The sequence below is a fragment of the Homo sapiens genome, chromosome X (assembly GCF_000001405.40).
Source record: "Homo sapiens chromosome X, GRCh38.p14 Primary Assembly".
NCBI classification, from domain to species: Eukaryota; Metazoa; Chordata; class Mammalia; order Primates; family Hominidae; genus Homo; species Homo sapiens.
The window spans coordinates 10580540-10606961 of NC_000023.11; the positions used below are offsets into that span (position 1 = coordinate 10580540).

General features: G+C 38.7%; 1 protein-coding gene and 1 pseudogene across 5 annotated transcripts in view, besides 3 other annotated features; one reads left to right on the plus strand and one right to left on the minus strand.

Annotated features, from left to right (window-relative positions):
• Window positions 1–26422, minus strand: part of MID1 (midline 1) — a 388374-nt gene that overhangs the window by 135230 nt on the left and 226722 nt on the right. Inside the window, exon 1 of one of the 5 annotated variants that reach the window (NM_001347733.2) lies at window positions 9048–9421. The exons of the other annotated variants lie outside the window; for them this stretch is intronic. The gene's annotated coding sequence lies outside the window, so the exon portion shown is untranslated. Of the gene's footprint in view, window positions 1–9047; window positions 9422–26422 lie in introns of those variants that run through there. 5 annotated transcript variants of the gene reach the window in all.
• Window positions 2278–2380, plus strand: RNU6-800P (RNA, U6 small nuclear 800, pseudogene; annotated as a pseudogene).
• Window positions 9316–9798: a promoter, noted in NCBI's record as "LTR promoter fragment". NCBI's record gives the evidence for it as "EXISTENCE:reporter gene assay evidence [ECO:0000049][PMID:12408967, PMID:12411602]".
• Window positions 9316–9798: an enhancer, noted in NCBI's record as "LTR promoter fragment". NCBI's record gives the evidence for it as "EXISTENCE:reporter gene assay evidence [ECO:0000049][PMID:12411602]".
• Window positions 9316–9798: a mobile genetic element, noted in NCBI's record as "partial".

Sequence of the window (26422 nt, forward strand, 5' to 3'; positions counted from 1 at the left end):
GATGCAAATTCTGCAAAAGCTGCTAGTATGATGGTACATTTAATAAAACATCATCATAGCTTATTGGACTTATCACATAAGAATTATTATTGTAGTCTCTAAAGAAGTTCAAAAAAGTAAAAAAATATGTCTGATTTTGCGCTCCATTAAAAATTTCAGTCTTTTTTTTTCTCTTTTCTATGTTTTGCCACTATTCTCCTTTTCCCCACTTCCTGATCAGTCCTTTCTATTGTCAGATGAGTGATGAGCTGATGTGCTTTCTTCTTTACCAAAGCATTTCATCCAGCTTTCCCTCTGGCATGCTTTCAGAAAACTTTGGGCTAAGCCCTGAGCTCAGTGTGCCCAAGTGTTCTTGGTCTAGTTTTGGGCTGACACTGTCAATGTGGTGTCCTGTAAAAAAAAAAAAAAAAAAAAAAAAACATGTAGAGGTCAGGCGCAGTGGCTCACGCCTGTAATCCCAGCACTGTGGGAGGCCGAGGCAGGCGGATCACCTGAGGTCAGGAGTTCGAGACCAGCCTGGCCAATGTAGTGAAACCTCATCTCTACTAAAAATAGAAAAATTAGCTGGTCATGGTGGCGGGTGCCTGTAATCCCAGCTACTCGGGAGGCTGAGGCAAGAGAATCACTTGAACCTGGGAGGCGGAGGTTGCAGTGAACCGAGATTGCGCCACTGCACTCCAGCCTGGGTGATAGAGTAAAAAAACTCAGTCATATAAAACAAAACAAAAACAAAAAACAAACAAACAAACAAACAAAAAACATGTAGTACCTTGAAGCCAGATAACCTGAGTTCAAATCCTGGCTCTGCCATTTCCTTGCAAAGGCAGATCGGAGCCAGATACTGTACATATCTTATACTCACAGATGCTCTTCCTATCTTCTATGCAGTTTCCTTATCTGAGAGCAATCTTAAGGGTCCTTTGAGGATTAGTGAGGTGAACTTTTTAAAATGCCTGACAAAATTCTCACTCTTATGGAAGGACAGGGTGGTAGGGGATGGGGGATTGGGGTCCTTCTTCCCTTCTTGTCCTGAATCGCCTCTTCCCACTCTTCTTTGAATAAATTCATTATCTGTGTTTTTTACTGGAAACCTCTTCATACCATTTTTGCAAGCAAGAAGGATATAAATCCATTTATTCAATAACATTTATGGAGCATCTTATGTGAACAAACAGTATGTGAATGTGAAATGAACTAGCATTTTTATTCTTAACACTAATGACTTATCTTCACATTGGCAATTTCATCTGTTTCCTACACTATGACATACCTCTGTTCATTACCACTGATCTCCCACCATGAACTTGGGGCTTCACTTCCGCTTCCCAGTGAAGGTCACCCTGTCCCATATGCACTCTTTGTCAGAATTTTTTTATTTTGCAGGAAATAAGGGACCCTGGCATGGATGGAGCATGTGAAACTATCAAGAACAGTGAAATGTTTCAGATTTTTGCTATTTGCCAGTTTCGTTTCATGAATGCTGGCAGAAGACACCTGAATCAAAGATAAAGGCTGTTTTTACTCAAATGGTATGTGTTTCATGTTCTGTTGGTTCCCCTTGTTCTCGAAGTCCTACGGAGCATCCTAGGTCCATGTTTGCACACTCAGGAGATTTGCATCATACCTAAGCAACTCCAAGCTTAGGAAATCTGAATCTTTTATAATGGACTGCAAGTTAGCCTGCCCAACTTTTGCCCTGGAGGAAGACATTGTCTTTAATATAATGAACAACAAACAAACCTGCCTTCTCCCCTGGCGCGAGATACTACCTCTATCTCCCAAGACTGTTTGCTATACAAACATCCTGGGGAATAGTCTGGAATAAAATCATTCAGTGCTCCAGCTCACAAGAGGTACAAAAAGGTGATAGATCCATGGAAAATTATTTCCTAATAGACACAATTCTTATCTCCTCCTGGGGATATGGCCAATAGTTGTTACTAGAAATCAGATCATCACTGGACTTTCTAGCAGTTACCACAGAGGCAGAATTTCATTTGGCACTGAATGACCCTTGAGTCATAGAAGACTAGAGGTAAAAGGAGCCTGCAAGAAAGTGATAAGAACTTCCTTACCAACGGCTCCAAGCTCCTTATCCAACCACCCTCTGACATCAGCTGTTGTACAAGGAAAATTGGCAGAAAGCAGGTAAGCCTCACCCATAGATTTTGCTCAAATAAACAGAGCCCTTAATGTCCTTCATAGTCCCAAAACAGCTTGGGTCTGGTCTGCAACTTCAGCTCTTCACTCTGAACCTAAGCTAATTTTAAGAGTTTGGTGCTTGTTTCAGCAGCACATAGACTAAAACTGGAATGATACAAAGAAGATTAGCATGGCCCCAATGCAAGGATGACAAATTCATGAAGCATTCTATAATTTTTTATTATTAAAAAATATTAATAAAATAAGAGTTTGGAAGAGTAAGCTAATTTTGTTACTTTTATGACACTGGAAATCCTATATGTATATCCATTTGGCTTTCTTTAAGCATTAAAAAAAATTAGAACTACTTCTTTTGGAGTAAAACCAGATGAGTCATTTCTTTCATTACTCTTTCATTCCACTGGTATTTTTTGAGGTCATTCTGTGTGCCAGGAGCTGCTCTAGGCAGCAGCAAATTGGTGGTAAATATGAGCATAAAGGCCTGCCCTTGGAGAGCTTACATTTTAATGAAGGAAATAAAAAAATAAAAGGTTTTTAAAAACACAAACATTTCAAAGACTCATACATAAAATGAAAGAAATAAAAAGGATGACATGATAGAAGGTAGATGGGTGGTGCAAATCTATGTTAGCTAAGGGGATATTACTACTCATATTTGTGCTGGCTTTCTTGATATTTTGGCTTTTTCCCTGCCAATAAACAAGCAAAGAGTATCTGAATTTCAGTATAAAACTTTCTGGTGTTTGGTCAGAGGGTTGTGATCTAATTTTTCAAGTTGTTAAATGCTTAGTTTCAGATTGCCTCAAGGATAGAGTTCTTTTTCAAGGGCATAGAAATCCAACTTTTACTATTTCTTACAAAAAAATGGAATGTGATGAATTATTGTAAAGTAGTGACATCTTTATTTATTTTAGCAATAAAATTTTGAAAGAGAAAAGCCACGAACACTTAGTGAGCCAAAAAAGCAGGAACCATGATGTTTTAGTCCATTTTGTGCTGCTATAACAGAATTCTTGAGACTAAGTAATTTATAAAGAACAGCGATTTAGGCCAGGTACGGTGGCTCACGCCTGTAAACCCAGAACTTTGGGAGGCTGAGGCGGGTGGATCACGACATTAGGAGTTCAAGACCAGCCTGGCCAAGATGGTGAAACCCCGTCTCTACTAAAAATACAAAAATTAGCTGGGCACGGTGGCAGACGCCTGTAATCCCAGCTACTCGGGAGGCTGAGGCAGGAGAATTGCTTGAACCCGGGCGGCAGAGGTTGCGGTGAGCAGAGATCACACCACTGCACTCCAGCCTGGGCGACAGACTGAGACTCCATCTAAAAAAAAAAAAAAGAAGAACAGAGAGCAGGTTAGGGGCCTGGTATCTCTGTTTCCAAAATGGCACCTTGAAGCCTGTGTCCTCTGGAAGGGAGGAATGCTATGTCCTCACATGGCAAAAGAGCAGGAGAGGAAGAACCCACTTCCACAAACCCTTTTAATAGCGGCATTAATCCATTCGTAAGGGCTTTACCATTAAGCCCCACATCCCAGTACTGCTGCATTGGGGATTAAGTTTCCAACAAACGAATTTTGGGAGACACATTCAAACCATAGCATATGGTATTCAGAATTACCTGAATATCTTAAGTGTTTGATTCTACGATGTTAACTCAAAGTTGAAAATAACCATGGATGTACAGTTAAGCTTATAGGGATGGACAGGAAGGAAATGAATAGAGACATTGGAAGAGGCATTGGTTTTGTCAGTACTTACTCACCAGCTTTTGCACCACTGGAAGAGGAAATTTCAGGAAGGAAAGGAAGGAAATGAGGGAAGAGTGCTGGGGGAAATAAACACATGTGACTACAGCTTTATGACCGGTGAGCACCAAAGATGAGTTAAGACTAGATCCCACTGGCTGACAGCCAATGTCTTTTGAAATGTCATAATGTCATTTGACAATGACAATAATATCAAAAAGCATCTCAAAATAAATAAATTCACTGGCTAGGTAAAATTGCAATAGCAGCTGAATCATGATTTTTTAGAGCCCATCACTTTAAGAAAGGGTTAGAAGGAAAATAATCGCAGAGAAAATTGGGTAGCAGGACGAGCCGCAGACAAAACTCCTCAGACACCAAGTTAAAGACGGAAGGGGTTTATTCGGCTGGGGGCATCGGCAAGACTCCTGTCTCAAGAGCCGAGCTCCCTGAATGAGCAATTCCTGTCCCTTTTAAAGGCTCATAACTCTAAGGTGGGGGGGTCCACGTGAGAGGGTCATGATCAATTGAGCAAGCAGGGGGTACATGACAGGGGCTTCATGCACCGGTGGTTAGAGTGAAACAGAACAGACTGGGAAGTTTTACAATGTCTTCCTATAATCTATAGATAACATCAGTTGCTAGGTCAGGGGTGGAATTTTAACTACCAGGCTTGGGTCAGGCAGGCCCAGGCCCGGTTTCAGGTCTGGTTCCTTGGTTTCACGTCTGGTTGCTAGGCGCCGGGCTACCTGCCTTTAGTTTTGCTTCTCTTTCCTTTTCTGAGTATAAAACAATATAAAACAATATGAGAGGGTCTGTCTCTCTTCTCTCATTTCCCCCCTTTGAGACTCTCACTTTTTATTAGTGGGAGTTCTCACTCTTATTTTTGCTACTTATGTCTTCCTGTGCAATAGATTGATAATGATTCACATATTTACACTTGTGCTGATACATAACACGAAGTGACACTGAGAGACTGGGCTATATGCTCGGCTAATTGCAAAAACAAATTTCCTGTTTTTCCTGGAATTTCTGGTACTGACACATTCAGTTCATCATAGAAGGTTTGAAATACTGGCTCAGGAGAGCGTTTATAAACTTTTCCTCAAACCACGACATTTACTTGAAGATCCAGTCCAGCTCCATCAATTTTTAGGGTTACACGTTCCTCTTTTTTCTAGTGAGGATTAAGGGGGTTGGTTATTACTAGTTCTAAGGGGTTACACTGACCACTGGTACAGGAAGGGCCACTTTTCCCTTGCTGAAGGTGGACAGGATTTTTTTTTTTTATCCAAGTAGCCTAAATGACACAAGACCAGTATCCACATTTATTTTTACACAGTCTTAATTTATGATAAATGTACTTATTTTCTGCCATATAGCCTCTTTCTTAATTAAGAGAACCACATCCTATTTTTAACCTATTATTATTAATGACAGCACAGGCATCGAATTTCAAGGTGACTTGTTTGGGCACTTCTTTTTTTGTTTTGTTTTGTTTTGGCTAACACTTTACTTGTATCGTTTATGAGCCTCCACCAGTCTTCAGTCCTTAATCTTATTTTAAAAACTATGGTCATGGGAGGCTCAGATGGGTCATAACACACATCAGGTTGGTCATTTCCCGGGCTACATACCTTGTATAGAGTAACATTATACAAACAAGTTTTTTTAGAGTTCCAGTACACTTATAATAACTGTAAAATAATAGGACTGTAGCAACCTTTTGTCCCACTTCAGTGACTTGATGTATATACTGGGAACAGCCCTCAGTCTGAGGAAGGTCAGTTGAAGTCCTTACTGTACAAGTCCAAATTTTAAGGAAAATGAGTCCTGCGATGAGTTTCCTCATGTTTCGGCCGTGCATGGACCAGTTAGCTTCTGGGTGTGACTGAAGCAGGGCTTGTCGTCTTCTTCAGAGTCACTTTGCAAGGGTTGGCGAAGCTGCTCCCATCCACGTACAGCTCTCGGTCTACTGATGTTTAAGGATGGTCTTGGAGGTTGGGCCCACTAGAATAAACTGAGTCTAATACCTCTACACAGTTATGTTTAACTGGGCTCTCTGATACCAGGAGTAAGGTGGCGGGGTTTAGAGTGTTGCAAACTTCAATTGTTATGTGGGGATTTTCACAGAGCAAGCTTTGGTATCTAGTTAGTCTAGCATTCATTAGCTAATGATGTCCTTTGGTATTTATTAAAGTCACCACAGCATGGGGGGACTTTATGTTTAGGTTTTGCCTAAGAGTTAGCTTATCTGCTTCTTGTGCTAACAGGGCTGTTGCTGCTAGGGCCCTTAGACATGCAGGCCAGCCTTTGGAAACCCCGTCTAGTTGTTTTGAGAGATAGGCCACTGGCCTTGGCCAGGGCCTTACAGTCTGGGTTAAAACTCTAACTGCCATGTTTTTCTTTTTCTGACACATAGGGTGTAAAGGGTTTTGTTAGGTCAGGTAGCCCCAGGGCTGGGGCTGACGTGAGTTTTTCTTTTAACTCATGAAAAGCTTGCTGCTGTTGGTTGTAATAGATGTAGTTTACTAATCTACATTTTTATTAACTGTCATCTACCAAAATATTGACTCAAATCCTGTAACTATTTGATTTCAAGCTTTACATTGATCTGGTATTCCTCATGGGACTCCAATTGCGTCTAAATGGACATGAGAGTTGAAAGACCTACAAGGGGCTTCTCTCGCTTTACAATGTCTTATTTTTTCTCCTGCTGGTTGATGAAATGCCAGGGTGAAAGGGATAGCCAATTGGACTAAAGTATAAGTGCCACTCCAGTTATTCGGCAGAGTGCCCAGTAAAGGTCCACCACAATACCACCACACATCCGCGTGAGGATGAACAAGGGCTGACTGATTGATAAGCTCTTGAAAATTCTTAAGCTCATCGCATCCCTTCAGGTCTCCAAGGAATGCTAAGTTTCCTCCCTGTCGTGAGAGACACGAAGTGAACTTAGTGTTGGGAGACGGAGGCTGGACAGCCCTCGGGGGCTGACCCGCAGGGTGCCGGACTTTGGGATATAGCAGAGAGAGCTTGGCATGACTTATTACTCCAGGCTGTAGAATCCTGGAAAAGAACTACCACACAGTCCATGCCTTGTCGACTGGAGGACCACCTTAGTGGAAGGGGGACAATCAGGGCCTCTGGCCTGCCATGTGCACAAGCATAACAATTGCTTTTGTTTAACGTGCACATGGAATATTTGATCCATTCCAACCAGGCATTTGCATCTTGGTATGCTGTCTTAATTGCCAAAGTTTGTTTTAAGTTTTTAACTTTTATGATCTTCTAGTAAAATGAATGTTTCCTTTAGCACCTATTTTTATTAGTTTTTAGACCAAAGAAAGCCAAATACCATTTTACATTTAACAATGCTTTCTGTATGATTTTTATACTAGATAAGCCAAATTTTACCTTTATATTAGTGTTATTGATGTTAAACTTAATTTTAATAAAACCTTGTAGACATATTTATCTAATTTTTAATGTTTGACCATAAGCAAGATTTTATATACTCTTTTTAACCTTTCATAATTTTTGTTAAAGAGCAGGTTGGTGCTTTAAGAAAAACCTGTTGCATTTTTATTTTAATGTCCAGTTCACAGAAAAACTGGATGATACCTTTTTAACTTTAGCTAATATGTTTACACACAGAATTTTCTTTACAATTAACGTCTCAAAACTCGCTTAAACTTTCAAAACAATAATTTTTTTAACCTTTTAATGTAGGTAAAAATCCACATTCTTATGCCTCCTTATAATCCTTTTACCAAAGGTATATTTTACTTTTCTTATACACCTTGAACATAAACTGTTTCTTCAATAGTACTGAGTACTTTTAAATTATACAACATTTTTTGCATAATTTTTTTTTTCCCGTTAGCAAAGCAGCTGCCGCTACAGATTGAATGCATCTGGGCCATTCGCGGGTTACTGGGTTAAGGATTTTTGATAGGAAGGCCTCAGTGCTCTTGGGATATGCCCTTGTTTACACTGACAACAAAGTAGTATTAGAGTGTTACAGGGTTACTGAGAATACCTTTAATTATTAATTACAGGTTTTTAATTTACCTTGGCTTTTAAAGGAATAGGGTATACTGTTGTTTTTTTTTTTAACTACTTGTATATTTCTCTCTTTCTCTTTTTCTTTCTCTCTTTGACTTTCTGTCTCTCTGTCTCTCTCTGACTTTCCTTTTGCCTCTGTTTCTTCCTCTCTTTCTGCCTCTCTCTTTCTGTCTGCTGGTCTTTCCTTGCCTCTGCCAGCCGCTTATGCTGCTGTTCTCTTAACTACTGTGGGGGGAAGGGGATCTAAAACCAGCTGTAACTGTCTCTGTACGGAAACTGGTCTGGGTGCCTTGGCTTACAGGCTACCTTGTGCCATACCTTTGAAACAAGGGACTTGTCTAGGCTTCCTTCTGATGGCCAAGCCACCTCTAATGCTGGCCAGTCTATTTCACACAAAGTTTTAAGTTCTCCTGGTGTCATAGTACTCCATAGTCTTCCTTAAATCCTTTCTTGAAATTTTTCAACATAGTTCCTAGTAGGGTGGGCTTATTTGTGCCTGACCCATGCTTCTTTGAGACAAAACACCATGCTCACACCACACGCACACCACAAAACAAAGAACAGGTAAAAAGGGCACACACACACTTTTGCAGTTTACACCAAACCAGAATCAAAACCAAAATTAGAGTATCCAGAAATCTAAGCCAGGTCAAAACCAAAACTAAGCAATCCAGGCAATCCAAGTATCAAGCAATCCAAGTCAAGTCAAAAACAAAAACCAAAGTGCCGGTACTGCCACACCGTGGGTGATCAGGCCATGCTTCCACTCAAATGGAGTAGGCAAGTTCCTACTCAAATGGAGTAGGCAAGTTCCCAAGACCAGTCCTGTGAAGCAATTCAAACCAAGTCAAAACCAAAACCAACACCAAAGTGCTGATAAAGGCACGCTGTGGGTGATCAGGCCACGCTTCCACTCAAATGGAGCGGGCAAGTTCCCAAGACCAGTTCCGTCAAGCAATTCAAACCAAGTCAAAACCAAAACCAAAGTGCCGATAAAGGCATGCCGTGGGTGATCAGACCACGCTTCCACACAAATGGAGTGGGCAAGTTCCAAAGACTAGTCTTACCAAGTTTTAGATGTCTGGACTCCAAGTGCCAGTTCCTTCCCAGTGTTCAGCCACTGCGTTGATCCTCCACGGGGGCCTGCCACACACGGCTCTGGCGAGGCGTCCCACCTGGGCAAATGCCTACCCGGGAGCGCTCTCAGGATCCGCGTCGCTCCGGCTGGTTGGAGTCCCCCGCAGGGATGTTCCACAGGGCAGGCTAAAGCCACCTAAGGAGCTGCCTCAACCGTCTGTTAATCACCTCGCTTCCTGGTCAGGGAACCAAGAAATGTAGCAAGACAAGCCGCAGACAAAACTCCTCAGACACCGAGATAAAGAAGAAAGGGGTTTATTTGGCCAGAGGCATCAGCAAGACTCCTGTCTCAAGAGCCGAGCTCCCCGAGTGAGCAATTCCTGTCCCTTTTAAGGGCTCACAACTCTAAGGGGGGTCCACGTAAGAGGGTTGTGATCGATTGAGCAAGCAGGGGGTACGTGACAGGGGCTGCATGCACTGGTGGTTAGAGTGAAACAGAACAGACCGGGAAGTTTTACAATGTCTTTCTATAATCTATAGATAACATCAGTTGCTAGGTCAGGGGTGGAATTTTAACTACCAGGCTTAGGTCAGGCAGGCCCAGGCCTGGTTTCAGGTCTGGTTCCTTGGTTTCGCGTCTGGTTCTTAGGCGCCGGGCTACCTGCCTTTAGTTTTGCTTCTCTTTCCTTTTCTGAGTATAAAACAATATACAACAATATGAGAGGGTCTGTCTCTCTTCTCTCAGTTGTAGGAGAATAAAGTTGCTATTGTAGCTATAGCAGAGACCAAGAGAAGAGCTTGGGAAGTCTGGGTGGTGGGTGCCCTGTGCCACTCTTCCACAGTGAAGCAAATAAGGTTTGTGGGAAGACAGGGTCGCAGCATTCCAGGGGAGGGGTTATAAAGCAAGTAGTCTTCTGAGGGTGAGTTATTCCCAGCCCAAAGACTTTTTGGCCTAAAAGCCAAGATTTAAACTGTTTATTTGGAGACTTGAGAATTCTGCCCAAAATATATGTAAAAAAAAATGTACTCTATATAAGAACAAATCCCATAAACGCTAGGAAGCTTCTAATGGCTTTTAAAACATATTCTCAAGGCAGGCTAAAGTCTGAGAGATTCTTCTTGTATTATCAAAGTATGCTTCCTTGTTATCTTTGAGATAAATTATAAATGTAATTTGTAAAACACGAATACAAGGCATGAGTTTGGAGTTAATATCAAAAGGTATGACCTTATCCCTAAGGTTATCCCTTATCCCCAAGGGAGTTGACTTAAGAGTTTTTTGTTGTTATTTTGCTTTGCATCTTATTTGTTTATTTAAAATTTAAAGGAAAAAAGTTTCATTTTAAACAATTTAATTCTCATTGAAATGCATTTTAAGTGTGAGTTTCATCCTGTACATTTTATCCATTGAATCAAATTAGACAAGAAGCTGGCTTTTAAACATTAAAAAAAAAGGCAAAATTAAAATAACTCAGTACTTAAGATGCAATCTAGGGCTTAAAAATTCACTTACAAAAAAATCTAGCTTTAAGAACAGTGAGCTTTCAAGGTGGCTAAGCTATATTAAAGTGAAGTTATACTTATTTTGACTATAAATATGAATACTGATTAGAGAAAGTATCACACAACTATATGAGAACACATTTCATTTTTGAAAAAACAAATTTGAATGCCTGATTTGTCATCTTCATGGTAAAGATATGTTGGTTCTCTCTTTTACGTAGCTCCTTTAGCTTGTCCTTATATAAGTCAACAGGGTCTCTTGATTCAGGGCATAGTTCCGAACAATTCTGCCAGTTGTCTAAATCTATTCTTTCCATTCCAAATTCCAAGTGACTCTTTCTCTTTGAAACAGATGCAAATAGTTAGTTTCACAACTTTAGTCATTTTCATCCTTAGAATACAGACTGGGAAATTGCACACTCCAGGGGTGCTGGGCAAAGGGTGCCAGACCATGGCAAGGATGCTGGTGACTTCACCGAAGGGAGCTTTATTGTGCCGGAGCCACTGCCAGCTACCCTCCTCCAAGCACCGACTGCCAAAACATCACAGTCCAAAGAGGGGTGCTCCGTTCCCCCTTCCCACCTCCCCCCCTTCACCTCCCTGCCTATCAGCATCCAGAAGCAATTCTTTGCATGGGTGCTTCTTCATCCTGATCCTGACTGGCAGCTCCAAGGATTAAACTCAGGTCCTTTGGAGCAGTCGCTTTATGCACATTAGCCCCCTGGGGTGTTGAACTCCAAAACCTCTATTTTTTCCCCCGGGTCTACCCTGTATCTCACAAAACCCTAGTTAGCCACTGTGGTACACAGTCTTTCTTCCATTCCAGGCTATCAAAAGAAAACAAAACAAAACACCAGACCTTACAACAATATGATGGATATGGTAATGATCGAGCGTCTTTAGGGTAGTGGGTAAATTCCAAGTTCTTTCATAACTGAGACTTGGGAACTCGTTTTCTTCTTTATCATTAAGACTTCACATTTTCATCAGCAGAATCTTGCTTACAATAGCACAAATGATAATTTGGCTGAATGAAAATGGCTTGTGGTGTGTGTGTGTGTGTGTGTGTGTATATGTGTGTGTGTCCATTAAAAAAAGTTCCTCAAAACTGCTGAATGAAAATCAAGACCAGTGTCTTCTTAATCAAACAAAATTTCCTGCTTAGGGACTGCGTTAAAAAAAAAAAAAAAAAAAAAAAAAAAAAGACCATCTGGCCTCTCTCTGCTATTTGAGGGGTTTTTTTCTCCTCCTCACTTCCTGGTTATCTTTAGCAAAACATTATCATTTCTCGTATAAATTGTTTTTACCACGGTGCATTTCCTTCTGTGCATTACTTTAATAAATGGGATAGAAAGCATTGCTCCATTTCTTGAAAAATACTTTTCAGCTCTAAATGGCAGGTTTAAAGGGGGAAAAAATGAAAAATGTGCTTAAAAAAAGGAAGATGGAAGTCAAATCACAGTGAGGGCATTAACTACTCATGTTTCTTTAAACACTTCTGCCAAGGCAAGCTCTTTCTTTTTCATATATATATACATGTATATATATAGAGAGAGTAATAATTAAATTCCAAAAATGAAAAGCCACCCTACGCACCCTACCCTACTCATTTAAGGTGATAACTATGCTAAACACCCTCCAAGAAATAAGTCTGAAATGGAATTAATTTCCATGTGGGAACAAAGATGACAATAAAAATATGATCAAATCTCAATTAACTTAAAAAAAATCCTAATTGAAACATTTCTACAATGCTTGAGTCCACTTTACTTGCATAACTACAAATCACATATTGGATCTAATTGAAAAGTTTGAGGTAATTTCAAATCTTATTTTTCCTTGAGATCATCATTAAAAAGACCTTTTTTCATTTGATCATAAATAGAGATGACGTAGGAGATTGACTTGAATGTATAATTGTATCCATGACCATGGATTTTTACAGTAATTCATAATATCACCTTCTTCCTTGTATTTCACAAATCTTTAGGAAAAGTATAATGTAGAAAACTTGTGGTTAATAAAGGTTTGACATTTTAGCAAAGTTCAGGTAAGCTGAGGTTTTTGTGCATTTACATGCTAAACAAAATGACAAAGATTCCTGCTTTTCTCACTGCTGTTCAGTAAGAGTAAAAAATGAATGATAATTTTAATATAGTACTTCCGATCAATTTTGTTAGCACAAACTAAAGACTATGGAATACTTTGAGAAATATATAAACTAATTGAGAAAGCACTAGTGTTTAGTTTCCCAGTGGAACACAATGGCAGCTCAAGACTGGTCCCAAATGTCCTCCTTCCATGGTGCAGTCATGTCCAGTCCAGCTTGGGCTCCCCATTCCAATTTCCCACAGAAATTTATACTGTGCCACCTGAGTTACCAAATAATGACACCATAATTGAATCAAATTATTGCCCAACAAAAAGAGACCTCTAGTCTTACATTTTAGCGTTCCACCCTTTGATGAAGGTTATTGTAGAAGACGCTCCTGTATTGGGTAGGAGATTGGGAAAATGTTAGCTAAGATCACTTCCAGCTCTACAATTCCAAATAGCTTGCATTGTATGAGGGAAGATAAGGATAAGACTGGGACTCATGTTCTCTCTCTGAATACCCACACACTCTCACACTCTGTCTCTCTACCTCTGTCTCTGTCCCTCTGACACACACACACACACACACACACACACACACACACACACACCACTTTTTCTTTTGGGGAGAGGAAGATATCACCAAGTCCTCATCCCCCAAAGCAATACTAGGCAAATTTATTTTGAAATCTTTTATATGCCAAGAACTCTGATAGCTACTGAGCACACAGTAGGGTTTTCATAAATATTTCCATAAAGGACTGAATGAAGCTCAGGAGATCTGCCATCTCTCACTTATGGGCCTACAAAAGATATTCTTAGAGGGAGAAAAGATCAATAATGTCAGATTTAGCCGTGGTACTGGTGTTTGTGCCGATGACTATTTTGAAAATAGTACAGTTGTTACACACTAAAAATAGGACTGTATTGTAAGGCATATATATCTGTGTGTATATATATTTATGTATTAATATTATCAACTACTATGTCTTGGGCACAAATGTGTGAAGAACATTTTGAGGATGCATGTATTGAGTATATATTTTAGATCTCAATCTGTAACTCAGTTTAGAGCTTGCAAAGATAAAATCAGTGGGTCCTTATTTTTGTTCGCTTTGTCCTTCTATCTGTACTGTCTTCTCTCAGTATCTTTTCACCAAGCCTTGCCCTGAAGAACGATAATGACACCAAAACATAGGCACTTTTTCTTTCTAAGGACCCCTCAAGGGATATTATAAACTTAATGTCTTGGGGAATTCTGCAGAGACTTTCCAAACTGGTATACTCAAAATCAGTGTCAAGGCCCTGAGGGTGATTGGGCCCCAACTTCTGTCACCACAGTGATTTCCAGGTTGATTGGGTGCACGTGACATCCTTGGGTCAAGGGTATGGACAAGTAGCCCTGTGCCATATAGAACCACCAAACACTCTTCCAGCCCATAGAAGCAGCATTGGGAAGTACTGCGGATTATTACCTGCTGACTGTGTGTGAAGTTGTCCTTCCAATAAATACTTATTTTCCTTAGAAAAGGGCAAAAAGGTCTCATGATACATTACTTAGGTAACTGTTATACCCTAATAGAGTAGCGCACTTGTATTAATTCTTCACCATACAAGACAAAGAATATATATAAAATTTGGTGACTTAATGGAAATAATATTTATTTAGGGAGTGATGAATTCTAGGCAAAATAAAGAATGCATCAATATTCCTAACACCCAAATGGTTGACATGTGATGCAATTTACATAAGGCTTCCTTTGAATTTCATTTTTTGGAGCTTTCCTTCATATATCCATAACTGGCATTTAAAAAAATACCTACAATATGCCAGGCACTTTATACAAATTGGGTCTAATCCCTACCCAATCCCTAAATAGTGGGTATCATTTTCCCCCTTCTGCAGATGAGGAAACTGAGACACAGAGTTAAAGCATCTTCTCCAGGGCCACACAACTGGCACATGGCAGAGACCAGTTTAGAATCTGGGTTTTTCTGACTCTTAAAGATCTCTTTCTGGAAGTGAAATTACTATGTCGAAGACACACCCGCATATTCATGTTTATTGCAGCACTCTTCACAATAGTCAAGATATGGAATCAGCCTAAGTGCCCATCTACAGACAAAAGGATAAAGAAAATATATTTCTTTATGGGGATGATTAGGACAATGGAATACTATTCAGCCATAAAAAGGATGAAATCCTGTCATTTTTGGCAACATGGATGAGCCTGGAGGACATTATGTTAGGTGGAATAAGTCAGGCACAGAAGACAATTACTACATGGAACAAACCTGCACATTTACCCCTTGAATCTAAAATAAAAATTCAAATTATAAATAAAATAAAATAAAATTTAAAAACATTAAAAAAGATAAATACCACATGATCTCACTCATATGTGGAATCTAAAGAAGTCAATTTCATAGCAGTAGAGAGTAGAACAGTGGTTCCCAGAGGCTGCTGAGGGTATGGGGGAAGGGAGGAACGGGTAGAGATTGGTCAATAGGTACACAAAGTTAGACAAGAAGAGTAAGTTTTGATGTGCTATCACACAGTAGGGTGACTACAGCAAATAACAATGTAATATATATTCAAGACAGCTAGAAGAGAATATTTTGACTGTTGTCACCACAAAGAAATAATAAATGCTTAAAATGATGGATGTGGTAATTACCCCAATCTGATAATTATACTGTGTATCCATGTACTGAAACATCACATTGTACCCCATAAATATGTACAATTATTAGGTGTCAATTATAAGTACAAATTTTTTTTAAAAAAAATTTCTTTCCTCAGCAACATATTGCTGCTACAGCTTCAAGGAATTGGAAATTTTTGATAAACTAATATGAATAAAACGTGGACGCTGTAGATTCTGGCAGTATTTCAACTACTTCTAAACTTTAATTTTGAAAAGACAAATAGTTAAACATTGGTCATGTGTTCCTTCTTCACCAGGAGCTATTCAGAAATTTCACAGGCTAAACCCTCCCAGTTCTGTCTTAGAAGGACTGACATCTGGATCATATTGGCAAGGGGGTGCTTTAAACATAAGAGAAAATTAGGAGAAAGACCTAAGACTGGATTACTTCCACGAGTTCACTCACCGATACCCGCCCAAGTACTGTCTTTTTTCTTGTAACTAGCTTGTCACCCATTCTTTCTACTCAGTGAACAATGGCTTGTGACCTCACAGTTAGCGAGTTCATAGGAGAAATATATCAGTTATAATTAATGTTTACTAGAATAAATGTAAATATTTTAAAACATACAACAGTTCCAAGAACATGTGATTTCCATTTTATTTTATGAAACATTAAAAATCCACTTGTCCACCCCATTAATTATAACCTGCTCCCAGCCCTGACCTGTATATAATTCCTCCTGACATAAATTGGAACAAGGTGCTCAGAATAGAAGCAGCCTACACCCCAACTGGGCTACAAAATGTCAAGTTCCCAAACCTCTCAAAAGTGTAACCTGACATTTTGCTAAGATTAGAGACAGTTTATGAATTTAAAAAGAGGGCTTAAGGACTCACCACAGTTAAACCTACAGTAACTCCTGAAATATCCAAAGTAAATAGGACTAAGGGAGCCCTGGGGACACCAAAACCCTGTTAGAAGAGAAGGAACAGTCTTTAGTGGGTGGTATTTCTTTGCAGAAAATAATGTACATGCATTCAACCAGAATTAAGAAGAATGCAACAATAAACTTTGAGGCTTGAAGCCCTCTAGAGATCTAAAGGAGTCATGAATGGGCCATGTGAAATATTTCTCCTTTTGCTACATGTGAATGATTGAATTTATACTGCCCATTAATCCTAAATGTTGAAGGCAAAAAAAAAGAGAGAGAGAGAGAATGGCTAACTTTTTAAATAGTATTCTTCTTGACATGAATATAATATGTATTTATTATACATATGTATAATGTATATTGGTGAATATTTATAACATTCCCAAAGAGCAAAACACCTATAGAAGGATCTAACCGCAAAGAAGCAACATTCCACAGGTTGATCTTTCTAGTCATTTTCTGTACCTCTTAGCCACAAAAATGGGATCAGACTTTACGTTTTGTTTTGCAAGTTGTTATTTTAAATATAATATATTGGGTGATTTTTCATGTGTAAAGATTCTTCTGACTTTTCAAGATTAATTTCAAGTACCTTTTAGTACAACTAAAGTATTACAGCCACCTTCCAAATCAAATAGACTATATAAGCTGAAGATTTACTAAATATTAAAATGTTAGCAATTTTTCCCCATTATAACATGCACTGTCAATAGGGGCAATATTGCCCCCAAGAGCGAGAAAACTAGTTCTCAGTGGCAAACAAACAAACAAACAAACAAAAAACCTTACTCTTTTTATGCACAAAGCACAGATATACATAAATAGATTTATACTATATTTGTGGTATTAAAATTTCATGCAAGGAGCAATTAGCAAAAAATGTTTCAACAGGCTCCTTGTGACAGGGGGTTGAAAATGAAAATAGGTTGTAAACACTGCACTACAGCATCAGACTTGTAAAAAGTGGCCTTCATATTGCTAGAGTTCAGAAGATGATTTTTTCCATTTTAAATTTATCAACCTTGAATACATTTTTAACTCATTTCTTAGTTGCAGAAACCAAGGTTCCAAGCAGCAGATTTTTGGAGAGTTAATGTTTTGTGATAACCCCATGGTCAGCACATGTGATATCTGCCATGTTCTTACTAAAGACTCCTTGGGGTCTGGGTTAGGAGGCACATGTTGAGTGAGAGGATGTTTTGAGGGCAGATGAACACATCATCTCAGAAAGAGCTAGGGCCTGCTAAGTCTGCATCTCAACATTTATCAGCTCTTGCTCTGTGCTGCCCTCTTGTGATGTCTGGGCCTCCAGTATGCCTTGATCTCAAAACCTTCAGTTGCCCTAAATTGATGGACCACCTGCCTTCCAGTGCTTCTTGGCACCAACACCAGGAGATGGTGAAGGAAAGAAGAGAACACCAAAAGCAGCAGATTTCCTTAGAGGAAGAAGCCAGTGTCAGAAGAGGAAGAAAAAGTCACAAAACTTCGCTTTGGCCCTTTAACCCTAGGAAAGGGTGGGCCAATTTTCCACAAAGCTGCTGTTATTACAGGTCACACAGCTCACCAAGGAGCAAGGCAGGAGCTGAGATTCTTCATCACCTTCTGTGGTAGGCAGACTTTCTAAAATGGCAGCCCAAAGATGTCCACCTGAAGCCCTGGAACTTGTGAATGTGACATCACTCCTTGGATTGTGTTGTGTTACAGAGCACAGTTGATGTTAGAAAGGGAGATGATGCAGGTGGGCCTGACCTAATCACATGAACCCTTAACTGCTGAGAACGTTTCCTGACTGATGAAAGAGGAATTTAGAGAGATTCTATGTGTGTGAAGGACTCAATGTGCTGTTGCTTTGAGGTTGGAGATGGCCACTTAAGAAGGAATGCAGATGTCCCTTAGAAAGAGTGGACCACAGCTTATAGCTATCAAGGAGTTCAGTCTTACAGCTGCCAGAGAGTAAATTCTGCCAACAACCAGAGCGAGCTTGGCAGCAAATTCTTCCCTAGGGCCTCCAGATAAGAGCTTCGTCTGGCCAACAGCTCGATTTCAGTCTTGTGAGACCCTGAGCAGAGAACACAGCTGGGCCACCCAGACTTGCAACCTACAGAGCCACGAGCTAATAAATGGGGTGTTGGTTTAATCTGTACATTTGTGCTAATTTGCTATGCAGCAATAGTAAATGAACACACCTTCCCTTCTCTATGACCATCCTGACGGGGGGGATCCTGGCAATGTCTGTCTCCTAGATCACAGATTCTGGTGAGTGACAATCAGTTCAAATACAGTATCCAATCCCGGGTCTCTGACTGACTTCTTAACCCTTCAAGAATCCACAATAAGTCTTGCCAGACAAGTCCTAGCTCTTGACCTCTGCTCTGACCAACTGTCCCTTAGGAAGATTTTAATCACCTTCCGCTTAATGATCAATTTCTCAGGGCTCTCCGCTTTCACACCCTCTACCACCTGGCTTATTTAGTGCTTAGCATCTTCTCCAAGTCAAGCATCCATCTGGTGTATTTCACTCTGGTTGTCTTTTACCTGCTTAGAACTTTTCTTTCTACATCTAGAACGTGTTCATTCTGCCTCTTCAAATCTCCAATGCCCTTATTTTCCTATAATGGGCTGCTCAAAGATTATGTAAGAAGAAAAGTGAAAGTCTGAATACTCTTCCATGTGTTAATTTTCCTGAATTTTCTATAGGGGAAACAGAAACAGTGATGATATGCCATGATCATATGCTATGGTGGAAAGAGAAGGAAAAGGATTAAGCATCAGACATGGTTGAATGTGAAACTTTCCCAGTATTTTATCACCTCTGCATGTTTTTAAATTTTTCCAGGCCTCATGCTCCTCATTTGTAAAAGAATAATAGTAATACTTAACTCATAGAGCTGCAAGGAGGAATGAAAATGGTAAAGACCCACATAACAGAAACCAGCACGCACAAACACTTAAATATCACTGTGAGAAGAATTGAGGTGGTTGTTTGTATAAAATACTTCCAATTTTTCAGAGGCTGTAGCTTTGTAAATAATCTTTTTATCTCTTCTATTATCATAAGAACAAAGCCATTGTCACCCTTCCTTAAGACAGGGTTTAGCCTTGACAGTTAGAGTATTGTGTAACATGGAAACAATGATTTGACATTAGAATGCTGTATCCATTGCTCTGAGAATAAAGAAAGTGAGTTTTAGGATTAGGAATAAAGTTCTTCAGTTGCCACATTTGTTAGGATATTTCTGGGTTTTCTGTAAAGTTGAGTAAACCCTAGGCCCCATGAAGGCAGGGCCCATGCTTAATTCATCCTGAGTATCTACAGGGTTTGGTTGAAAACTGTGTCCTCAGTAAGTACTTACCCACTTATTCATTTATTTATGCATTGAAAAATCAGTTAAAGAGTAAAATTTAGCTGGGCACAGTGGCATGCTTGTAGTCTCAGCATTTTGGGTGGCTGAGGTGGGAAGATCGCTTGAGCCCAGGAGTTCGAGGCCAGCCTGAGCAACATAGTGAGACCCCATCTCAACAAAGAAAAAAAAAAGAGTAAAATTTCTGCTGAAAACTGTGGTGAGCTCAACATTTTATTTTTTTGAATTCTCCTTATGTTCCTATTGAACATTTATAACTTTAATTTTTCTTCTAATTAATAAATCTTAATACTTCTCTGATAGAACCAAAGGGGATATTTGGATACTTGGGGGTTGGGGAAGGTGGGACATATGCTCCCCAAAATCTCCAAGTTCTTCAGCTTCTGACTTGTGCTCCAACCTGAAAATAAACCCAGAAAGTGTCATATAAAATGGCCAACATATTTCCAACTGTTTTCTTCCTTTTGTATTTCCCACTCATTACCCAGGATGCATTTCCAGTGTCCTAGTGGCCCTGTCTTACACCAACTGTTGCTTCCTGCTTCTGAACATCAGGGACTTTAAATTCCAGATTTAAGAGACTTGCGTGTTGAAAAGCTTTTCTCTTTCTGTAAATTACTTGTCATTAAAATAACAAAGGATGCACTCATTAGTCAAATTAAAGATCATCTATCTGGAAGTGTGTCAAATGCAGATAAAGTATAAAGAAGCATTGTTGATACTTTTTTTTTTAAATGTGGACTTAATGAATAACTTTGCTGTTAAAATTCAGCAGCCAAGCGCAATGAAAAATTCCCATGGCTTTAAAATTCACAGCTTTGGCAGACTTCTTAATGGACAAAGTTCAAGAGATTCATAGCTTCCCTAACTTAAAATAAAAATCCCCAAACCACACAAGGTAGCATTATTATACTCTGAATACTCTTAAGAAAAGGTCTTATTAGCTGATGCTTCATAATTATTTGCTAAAAAAGTTGAGTGTTATAATTTAGCCTCTCACTAGCTTAGCCTTTAGACATAATGTAGCATTATTGCTTTAAGTTTTATACTGGCTTAAGGTAAGTAACGTGCTTCCCAACAACCTGCTGATTAGTAGAGTCCCTTTCTCAGTCATTACCCTAGAGCAGGGTTCTGCAAACTATAGACCACAGGCCGCCTATGTACCAAATCCAGGCCTCTGCCTGTTTTTGTGTGGCCCACAAGCTAAGAATGGTTCTTACATTTTTAAGTGGTTGAAAAAAAAATTGTTTAAATATTATTTTGTGACTTGTGAAAATTATGTGAAATTCAAATTTCAGTGTCTATAAATAAAGTTTTTTTGGAACACAGTTACCTCCAATTGCTTTATATAGTCTATGTCGAGCTGAGGGGTTTGGACAGAGACTGCATGGCCACAAAACCCAAAATATTTACTGTCTGGTCCTTTATGAACAAGGGTGCTGACCCCTGGCCTAGATTCATGCTCTATAAGAACCGTACAAATAGCTTGACACTTTCTCCCCTAATAGTGTGGGGCTGTCCATAGATCCTGGTAGTCACATGATCCTGCTCTGACTACTGCCCTTGTCACATATGCACACAGACATATACATACACACACACGTACGTGTGCACACACATTTTTTTTTCCAATTATTGGGAATGGGGAAGAAGGAGAATGACTAATAGCCAAGCCTACCCCTGTTCCCTAGGGTTGTGGGAATATTCTGCTTGTTCCCTTTGGCGAAATGGAATTGGAGTTTTTGTTTTTGTTTTTGTTTTTGTTTTTTTTTTTTTGAGACAGAGTCTCGCTCTGTCGCCCAGGCTGGAGTACAGTGGCGCAATCTCGACTCACTGCAAGCTCCGCCTCCCGGGTTCACGCCCATTCTCCTGCCTCAGCCTCCCGAGTAGCTGGGACTACAAGTGCCCGCCACCATGCCCGGCTAATTTTTTGTATTTTTAGTACAGACGGGGTTTCACCATGTTAGCCAGGATGGTCTCGATCTCCTAACCTCGTGATCCACCCGCCTCAGCCTCCCAAAGTGCGGAATTGGAGTATTTTAATCTGGGATAAAATCTCTGTAACAATTAAGCAAATAGTTTCTGACTTTTTTTTTTTTTTTTTTACCACCAATGACCACTTTTAAAAAAATTTTTAAATGCTTGGATGCTATGCTTATCATTCTTAAAAACAGCTTTATTGAGATACAATTCACACATTACAAACATCCATTTCAAGTGTATAATTCAGTGGGTTTTAGTATATTCAGAGTTTTGCAACCATCACCACTACTTAATTCCAGAGCATTTTCATCACTCCCAAAAGAAACCCCATACCCATTAGCACTCACTCCGCATTCTCCCCTCCCCTATCCCCCGGCAACCACGAATCTACTTTCTGGATCTATGAATTTGCCTCTTCTGGACATTTAATATAAAAAGATCATACAATATGTGGCCCTTTGTGACTGGCTTCTCTCATTTGGCATAACATTTTTTAAAAAACCTTTTCACTTTTAACTTCATAAATCCTCAGGTTTAGAAGTATTTGATAAAACAATCATTGAAAAAGTAATTATACAATATCTTCTGGGTTTTTCAAAACGCTGAAAAAAGCCCACAAACTTTTCTTACAGTCCCTAGGGATGCCTATGAGTCTGGGTAATGCCATGTAAGGCATCATTCTGCCACCACATGCTCATTCTATCATTTACTAAGCAAATATTTACAGAGCACCTGGTATATGCCAAGTGTTTCTCAAGGTGTGGAACAAGACATGCCTCTCAGTTTCAGATCTAAGCTCTTCGCAACCTTCCTTTTCATTAGACACTGGCTTGTTTTGCCAACCTGTAAACAGCATATTGCCAACACACTGTGCCTGCCTATATATTTTCCAGACTTTTAGTATTTTATATAAAAATGAAAAATGATATTTCTTAAATTATTAAAAATGATTTAAGTTGCCTTCAACTTTCCAAGTACCTGGAAAAAGCTCCTGAATCCTCATCCCCTTCTTTTCCTACTTATCTGCCCACATTTTTGTCTTTTCTTCCATCTTAGAACCGCTTTTCTCTTTGATTAATATCCTAAATCCTTTAGCACATGACAATAAGATATTGCAAATAGCCATGGGGTATCAGACAAGCAAAGAAACAAAATTCACACTTTGGTCATTCATGACTTTTTTTCTTAGTATCTAGCTAGATGTCTGTCATCATTGTTATTGCTCACTCACTAGCAAAGGTTCAGAATTTCTATTCCAGAGGTAAACTAGGCAAAGTCTCTACAATCCAGGCAGAGAGAGCTTAAAATAGTGGCATTAAGGTCACTGTGTATTAGAAACTGAATGGTATCTCTTTCCTCTAATCTGGTGAGTCTCTCTTATGAACAGTTCTTTTAAATGTTGGACATTTGTACTTACTAACATGGCTTGATCCTAAAGGATAGAGTCCAAATCAAGCACATCTGGGCATATTTAACCTGGAAAAAATGCCCCCAGAAGGCCATGTTAGCTTTGTCTTTGAAGAGCTGTCAGAGAACAGAGTAACTGCACGTGTTCTGTGTTGTAGAGAGGGGGCCAAACAGGGGTAAAAGCTATAGGGAGAGAGAGATACAGATTTCATCTAAGGACAAACTTTGTCACTGCAAATGATGTCTCTCATTGGAATGAGCCTCCTGAAGATCCCCTGTTGTGCTAGCATTCCTGGGGGCCATTAGAAAGGGGTTGCTGGTGATATGACAGGAATTCAACCAGGATAAGGTTTGAGACCAAAGATCTTTAACTCCCAACGATATAGATTCTGTGGCAAGGGTGATGATAAGGAACCCGGCTGGGGAGAATTTTTGGCTTAAAGCAGCTACAATGGTTCAATCCCAAAGATTGGTGCACTTTGGTAAGTAAAAGAGATGATGTCTTAATGCCAACGGTAACATACTTTTTAAAGCATTTATGCAGCAATTTAACAAATGAAAAGGAAAGCATTAGTTAACATTTATAGTTAAATGTTGGAGATTTTTAACCTGTCCAGATATTCAATATTATATTCCTTAAAAAAAAAATATTTGAGCCAAAGGCTAAAAACAGTCTTTTGAAATATATATATTTCAAAATACATAGACACACATGCATAAATAATTAGTCTTTAAATATAGATTCTTCAAAAGTATTATATGCCTGAACTTGCTGGATCATTAGACAAGAGCGGCATGAGAAAACCTGAAATTTAAAAACACAGGCAGTATGTACTTTTTACAAGAAAATAATGAGCCACAGGGAGGAACCTATCTTGACATTAATTATGAAGAATATAATACTTTAAAATCTAGCAGGACTTCACTGCCTTAGACTAGAATTAATCAGAAGTTCTCTTCATTTCTTGAAATTATGTTTTCTTGGTTCAAAGTTATAAATCTCAAAGCTGTATAGTTTGAAAAGCTTTTAGAAGGCTTTGTTGTCAGAAAAAAAAGGGATTGCCTCTGCTATATACATTTTTAAGGCTGACAATTAAATATTTTCTCATATTGAATATGCTATCTTATGTTATAACTTGAAGGGCTCTGATGAGATTTAGTGCCAGCTAGAGTATCTGAAAATCCCTACAATTTCAGTTATGACATTCCATTACATGGAAGTGCCATTTTATCCCAAATAACCAAGGTTACATTTTAAAATTTTACTTTCCATTAATTAATTCAGCAATGCACATATGCAACAGATAGGTAAGTTTTGTGCCAGGCATTGAGGAAAATTCAAACCTTCCACTGTACAAGTTTCAAAGACTTATTCACAGAGTTGTTTAACAGGATTGCCAAAAAATTGAAGTCTATTTTTTTTCTCTACTAACATTTTATGTACTTGCTAATCTGCCTGTCGGCTCAATCTGCAGCTTTTGAGAATGCTCAGCTGCTGTTATAACCTCAGTGCATCAACTCTAATTTGTAAGAAGATACTGTAACCTTAAAAGGTCACCTTATATATTCCTTGCACATATTGGAAGAAAGGCAAAGATGAGCATGACTGGGGATTAAAGTGACATTATTAGGTTTATCCTAAGAATAACATGGCTTCTTTAAAATATAGTTTGTCAGGCAATTTTGGAAATTAGAGATATGTTATTTGGGGTTCTGGCAACTCTTTGCTATATAACTCTAAAAATTAATTAACCTCTTGGTCTATAGAGAACATAAGGGCTCTGTAGGAAAGGGAAGTGTGCATGATGTTACTACATCACAGACTTTAAATGAAGTCACCAGGAGAATGCATGCAGTTATAATGTTATCACTTCACAGAGACTTTCTGGAGGAACATAAACTATATGAAGAAAATTTGTACCATTTCCTCTAAGAAGGGTGATTTTAGCCTACACAAGTAATTTGTATTTTCACTTTAGAAGTTAAAATTCCTCTTTGTAATCCTATAAACAAAGGAGGATCATTTTCCTGGTTCTTATGGCTATAATGTTTCTTCCTCCAATGCCTTCTCTCAACATAATCTACTAAACCCTTTGGGCATTTTTAAAATGTGCATTTTCAAAGTATTTTTGAGTATTATTTGCCATGCTATGAAACTAATACATTTTTTAAAAAGTATCCTATTATTTTGGGGGTCAGTCTGCATTTCAGTGTATTCTTTCTTCATAAATTTTCTTATTAAACTCATATACTTCCAAGAGGCTTTGCTGTATTGAAGTGTTGCTTGAGTTTAGTAGGCTGGGATCATAAATGCATAGAAAAGAATGAGAATACTTCAAGGTGCACCTTCCTCTAGAAATAGTGATACCTCCGGTCACTTTATAAATCTCTATTCCTGAGACAGGAATGCCTCATTCTGAATTGGCTTAGCGTTCCCGGGAGATTCATATTACAGTACAACTCAATGGCGTATTTTACTGTCAGAGCCATAGATAACAGTGAGTTCATGATAACTACTATCCAAATCTTCCAAATGTAACAACTTAAAGAATGAAAACTAAAACCGGAATTTAAATTGCACAACTGATACAGGAATATTTTATTTTTACATGCGGTTATAATTTATTCTTTTTTCAGGTAATTTGTAATTTATATATAAATATAAGATACATATTTTAATTCTAATACAGGTAAGAATATGCAACTTAACAGTATTTCAAAAAATAACTATTTTCACCTTATTTTAATTCTAAAGTAGAAATATATTTATATACCAAATGTAATAAATACAAAATATATTATTTATCAAGTAGGGGTAAATTTATAAAGTTAAAAAATACATAACATTTTCTATAATTTATATAATAATTATTGTTGCCATGTAGACATAATTTAAATTATAAAACACTATCATATTTTCCTTTGCCTGTTTTGCAATTCTTTAAATGTCTTTTAAAACCTATTAGAATTCAAAGATAAACACATTGAATCAGAGGAAGATCCAGGAATTGTGCCAATTTCTCTATAAAATTCTCTATGCATATGGAGATATACCCTATTTTATGAGGTATTTTATTACCTATTAAATTTTGTATCTGTTAAAATAATCATGATATCTAATATAAGTGATAAAACATCATTAAAAGTAAAACAAAACCAGGTATGCATGAAGTTTGCTTTTCAATTATGTGTGTTCAATTTGTGTTTTATTTTATTTTGTTTTGTTTTGTTTTTTGAGACAAGGTCCCAGGCGAGTGCAGTGGTGCCATCTTAGCTCACTGCAGAACTGACCTCCCAGACTCAAGCGATCCTCCCGACTCAGCCTCCCAAGTAGCTGGGACTACAGGTTTGCACCACCAGGCCTGGCTAATTTTTTATTTGTTTTGTAGAGATGGGGTCTCAGTATATTGCCCAGGCTGGTCTCAAACTCCCT